This window comes from Homo sapiens, chromosome 10 (genome assembly GCF_000001405.40).
Source record: "Homo sapiens chromosome 10, GRCh38.p14 Primary Assembly".
In the NCBI taxonomy this organism is placed as follows: Eukaryota; Metazoa; Chordata; class Mammalia; order Primates; family Hominidae; genus Homo; species Homo sapiens.
The window spans coordinates 35,215,047-35,219,888 of NC_000010.11; the positions used below are offsets into that span (position 1 = coordinate 35,215,047).

Consider the following 4,842-nt stretch of genomic DNA (forward strand, 5'->3'; position numbering starts at 1 on the left):
TGGAGCTCCCCGCGCACCTGTGCGTGTGGGATCGAGTTCTCACTGCGTGTGTCTTTCTTTGAACCCTAAAAGTTTCATCTGGACTGCTGGGTATAGAAATTCCTGCTCCAAGGTTAGGGGACTGCATACCTTCTCTGTCCTGTGTAACTAGGTACTTCATAACACTAAGTCATGTGAGATGGGAACATTAAGAAAATGAACTCCTGCTAGTATTTAAACGTGTGACCATGAGGCATGCCTGAAACTGAGAACATGGACATCAGCAACATACTGTGCATGAACGGCAGCTGTTTGAGTGCCAGATGCCTCATTCCTTGTTCAACCACACTTCTCAGTTTTCTTCATATGAAGAAACTTACGTCCAAAACATGCTATTTCCCATGTGCCTAACAGTACACCTTTAAAAAATATCATGACTTGTGAAACCAACTTGATTGTTCTAGTCTACACCAAAAATAATTAGGCCGCTTTGACGTGTGAGGCAGGCAGAGCTGTTGCCAGTTGGCTGGCTGTAATGCAATGACTGTCGTATGGTAGTATACCATGGTTCTCAGAAGTTTAGATGTGCCAGGCTGGAGTGCAGTGGCACGATCTTGGCTCACTGCAGCCTCTGCCCTCTGGGTTCAAGTGATTGTCCTGCCTCAGCCTCCCGAGTAGCTGGGATTACAGGTGTGTGCCACTACGCCCATCTAATTTTTGTATTTTTAGTAGAAACAGGGTTTTGCCATGTTGCCCAGGCTGGTCTTGAACTCCTGACCTCAGGTGATCCACCCACCTCGGCCTCCCAAAGTGCTGGGATTACAGGCGTGAGCAACCACGCTGGCCATGATTCATCTTTTCTAAGGTCATCTTAAAGACACAGACTTGATTCTGAACTACTCAAGCATGGTATATTTTAATCTTTATGCTTTGTGGGAAGGTTTTTTCTATATAAATCCATTTTCTTGGCTGGGCATGGTGGCTCACACCTGTAATCCCAGCACCTTAGGAGGCTGGGGCAGGAGGATTGCCTGAAGCTAAGAATTAAAGACCAGCCTGGACAACATGGTGGGACTCTGTCTCCACAAAAAAAAAAAAAAAAAAATTAAGCAAATTAGCCAAGCATGGTGGTGCACACCTGTAGTCCCAGCTACGATACATACATGATTCATTGATCATGTTGTCTGTATCCTTAAGTTGTCCCATCTTCAGGGCCATGTGATGCGGAGTTTCCAGAAAGCAACATGGGAGTCAGCATGTTCATTCACTCCTTCAAGTCAATAAGTGAGGCTGCATTTGTAAGAAGTCCAGGAGGAGACAGGGCAGCTTTGGGACCTAGGGCTGTGGCAACCCTGACGTTACCATCCTGGGCTTGCTTTCTTCCAGGTGTGTATGTAGCTCCACAGATGCTACAGCCACGTAGTCATGGCAGTCAAGAATAACAGCTACCGTGTACAGAGTGCTCACCCTGCGCCAAGGGGCTTCCACATTTAATTCTCCTAGCAGCCCAACAAGTGTTGATGCTGTTACCATTATCCTCATTTTGCAGATGAGGAAGCAAGCTTGGAGAGAAGTTCAGTAGCTTGCCAAAGGTCACATGGCTCAGGACCAAGTGCAGAACCAGGACAGCAAGCCTCTGTCCTGGCGGTTCTCACCCAGTCTGGACCCAAAGGCAGGAAAGTGTTAAGAAACACTTGCTGGCAATGACTCAAGCAGGTGGTGGCTGCAGAGAGAGAGAGCTCTGTGGCTCTGAGTGGCTATGTGTGGGAACACCCAGACCTTCCTGTTCAAATGCACAAAAGCACATTTTCGCTCCTCTCTGGTTTTTCAAATCCCTGATGCTGATCAGGAAAAAATGACTCTACAGTTTAAGGACTAAGGACTAGCTAGCTATTGGAACATCAAAGTCACAGTTATGCTCATTGAAATAGAATCTTACAGCTAAAAGAGGTCTCACCGGTGTAATTTTTTAATTTTTATTTATTTATTTTTTGAGACAAAGTCTCATGCTCGGTCACCCAGGCTGAAGTGCAGTGGTACGATCTTGGCTTACTGCAACCTCCGCCTCCCAGGCTCAAGCGATTCTCCCACCTCAGCCTCCCAAGGAGCTGGAACTACAGGCACGCGCCACTACGCTTGGCTAATTTTTGTGTTTTTTTGTAGAGACGGGGTTTTGCCATGTTGTCCAGGCTGATCTTGAATTCCTAGGCTCAAGTAATCCACCTGCCTTGGCCTCCCAAAGTGCTGGGGTTACAGGCATGAGCCACTGAGACTGACCAACAGGTGTAATTTACTCCTTTCATTTTATAGACAAGAAAACCAAATTTCAGATTGATTTACTTAAATATTGCCAGCTATTGACAATAGACTAGAAATACTCAGATCTCTGAACTAGTGTGATAATCTTTATATTACTGTGATGCCTCTATTTTTCTATAAACTGGATTTTCAACCAGCTTTTGTGCAGCATAGCTTTCTGAGGAAGGATTTGTCCCTGTGGTTTGAATGGACGGAAGCTGGAAGGAAAACCCCGTCACTTACTATGCAAAAGTCCAGCTGGTCTCTGTGACAGCTGGAGGACACAGGAACTCTGCCAGATCTATCTCAGCCACCTCACTTTATGAAGGATGCTTGACCTGTGGTTCAGTCATTTTCTAGGACAAAAGGCTGTTAACAAGATGTACAAGAGCTCTTGCTTTCAACGTTTGTGGAGCTCTCAGAAGCGCTGACTTACAGCAGACCAGCGTGAGGCTTAACTTAGGAATGAACCCTACCTTTTAAAACACAGTTTACTATTGATACCCTTTTTTTTTTTTTTTTTTTTTTTTTTTTTTTTTTTTTGAGACAGAGTCTTGCTCTGTCGCCCAGGCTGGAGTGCAGTAGTGCAATCTCGGCTCACTGCAACCTCCGCCTCTCGAGTTCAAGTGATCCTCCTGCCTCAGCCTCATGAGTAGCTGGGACTACAGGCACATGCCACCACACTGAGCTAATTTTCGTATTTTTAGTAGAGACAGGGTTTCGCCATATTGCCCAGGCTGGTCTCGAACTCCTGACCTCAGGGGATCCACCCGCCTTGGCCTCCCAAAGTGCTGGGATTACAGACATAAGCCACTAAGCCCAGCCACTACTGATAGACTTTTGAGGAGGTGAGAAGCCCAAATAAGGAGGCTTTGGATGAAAGTGGGCTGCCCGGGAGAGGATAGCATGAGTGTGCCTGTTTGTGTCTTCTGTTTTGTGTTCCATACCTCTGGAATTTTCATTCAGTAGGTCTGGGAATTTGTATTTTTAACCAGTTCCTTGCATGTTTGTTTGTTTGTTTTTGAGACAGGGTCTTGCTCTGTTGCCCCTGCTGGAGTGCAGTGGCACAATCACAGATCACCTCAGCCTCCACCTCCTGAGCTGAAGCGATCCTCCTGCCTCAGCCCCCGGAATAGCTGGGACCACAGGCATGTGCCACCACCACGCCAGGCTCAAGTTCCTGGCATGTTTCTGAAGCACTCTAGTGTTGGAGAACACTGAACTCTATGATCTGGGGTTGGGCCTAGCCTAATTTTCCTTTAAGTCATGGATGCTCTTACCCAGCATTTATCCAGCACACAGACTGTTTAATGTCACAGCCACAGCGCCACCTAGTGTATGTGTGACTTCCAAACGGCGTATTTTCTTAGAAACATTAGTCTGTGAACATTTCAAAACTCAACGGGTGGTATTTCTTTTCTGCCATGGACTCTCCAAGTGTATGCCAAGCCCTATGGGGGCAAGGGATTAAGGGCAGTTTTCTCTGATCTAGTTTGGTGAATTATATTCACAGTAACTCTGGGGAGTCTTGGGTTAACTGTGGGGGAGGGGCAATAATTTGACAAGGTTTGGGAATCCTTAAACTATAGAGTTTTCTCTAAGAGTACACAGTTAATTGCAAATAGATTGAATTATTTGACATAAGAACTTTAGACATTACTTCCAGGCCACATAGTTTTAGCAAGTAAGTGACTTTAAAATGAATCCATCTTTTCTCAGCAAAATTACCGGTTTTGCTTTAACTGCATATGAGGGGTTATTTTAGGTGGTTAGAACATAGTGGAAAATGAGGCCAGGCGCGGTGGCTCACACCTATAATCCCAGCACTTTGGGAGGCCGAGCCAGGTGGATCACTTGAGGTTAGGAGTTCGAGACCAGCCTGGCCAACATGGCAAAACCCCATCTCTACTAAAAATACAAAAATTAGCTGGATGTGGTGGTACGCGCTTGTAGTTCCAGCTACTGGGGAAGCTGAAGCAGGATAATCGCTTGCAGTGAGCTGAGATCACGCCACTGCACTCCAGCCTGGGTGACAGAGTGAGGCTCTGTCTCAAAAAAAAAAAAAAAAACCTAGTGGAAAAGAGTTTCAAAGCGTTTTGCGTGTCACTCAGACATGGCTGTGGGTGGCATTTTAGTTCTTATCGTAACCTGTGATCACAGTGTTGGCCTCATGGGAATTGGATGAGCATAATCATATCACTAGAAGTTCTTGGAAAATAAGTATCATTAACTGTGGGAGAGCAGTGATATTTTCACACTCTAAAAAGTATACATATCCTGTTGCTTAGTAATGCCGAGATCAGCATCTGTTTTGTTATTGTAGCTTGAAATATCATGAAAATGTAATTGGAGATGAAGGTGCTGATGGCATTTAGCAATTACTTAGAGGTTAGATTAGTGACATGGTAATGATAATTAGATTATATGCCTTTGAACAATTTCTATTCAGAGACTTTTGATATATGATATTATGAATAAGATAATGTTAGAAATTCCAAATTTTAGAACATTAATCCATCTCAATATTAATTTAAAAATAAATACACATACATACATACATACTTC

The 4,842-nt window shown here is 44.6% G+C and overlaps 1 annotated feature.

Annotated features, from left to right (window-relative positions):
• Positions 3,649-3,698: a silencer, noted in NCBI's record as "silent region_2302". NCBI's record gives its function as "represses an Ori minimal core promoter by ATAC-STARR-seq in GM12878 lymphoblastoid cells {active_cell/tissue: GM12878}" and the evidence as "EXISTENCE:reporter gene assay evidence [ECO:0000049][PMID:35858748]".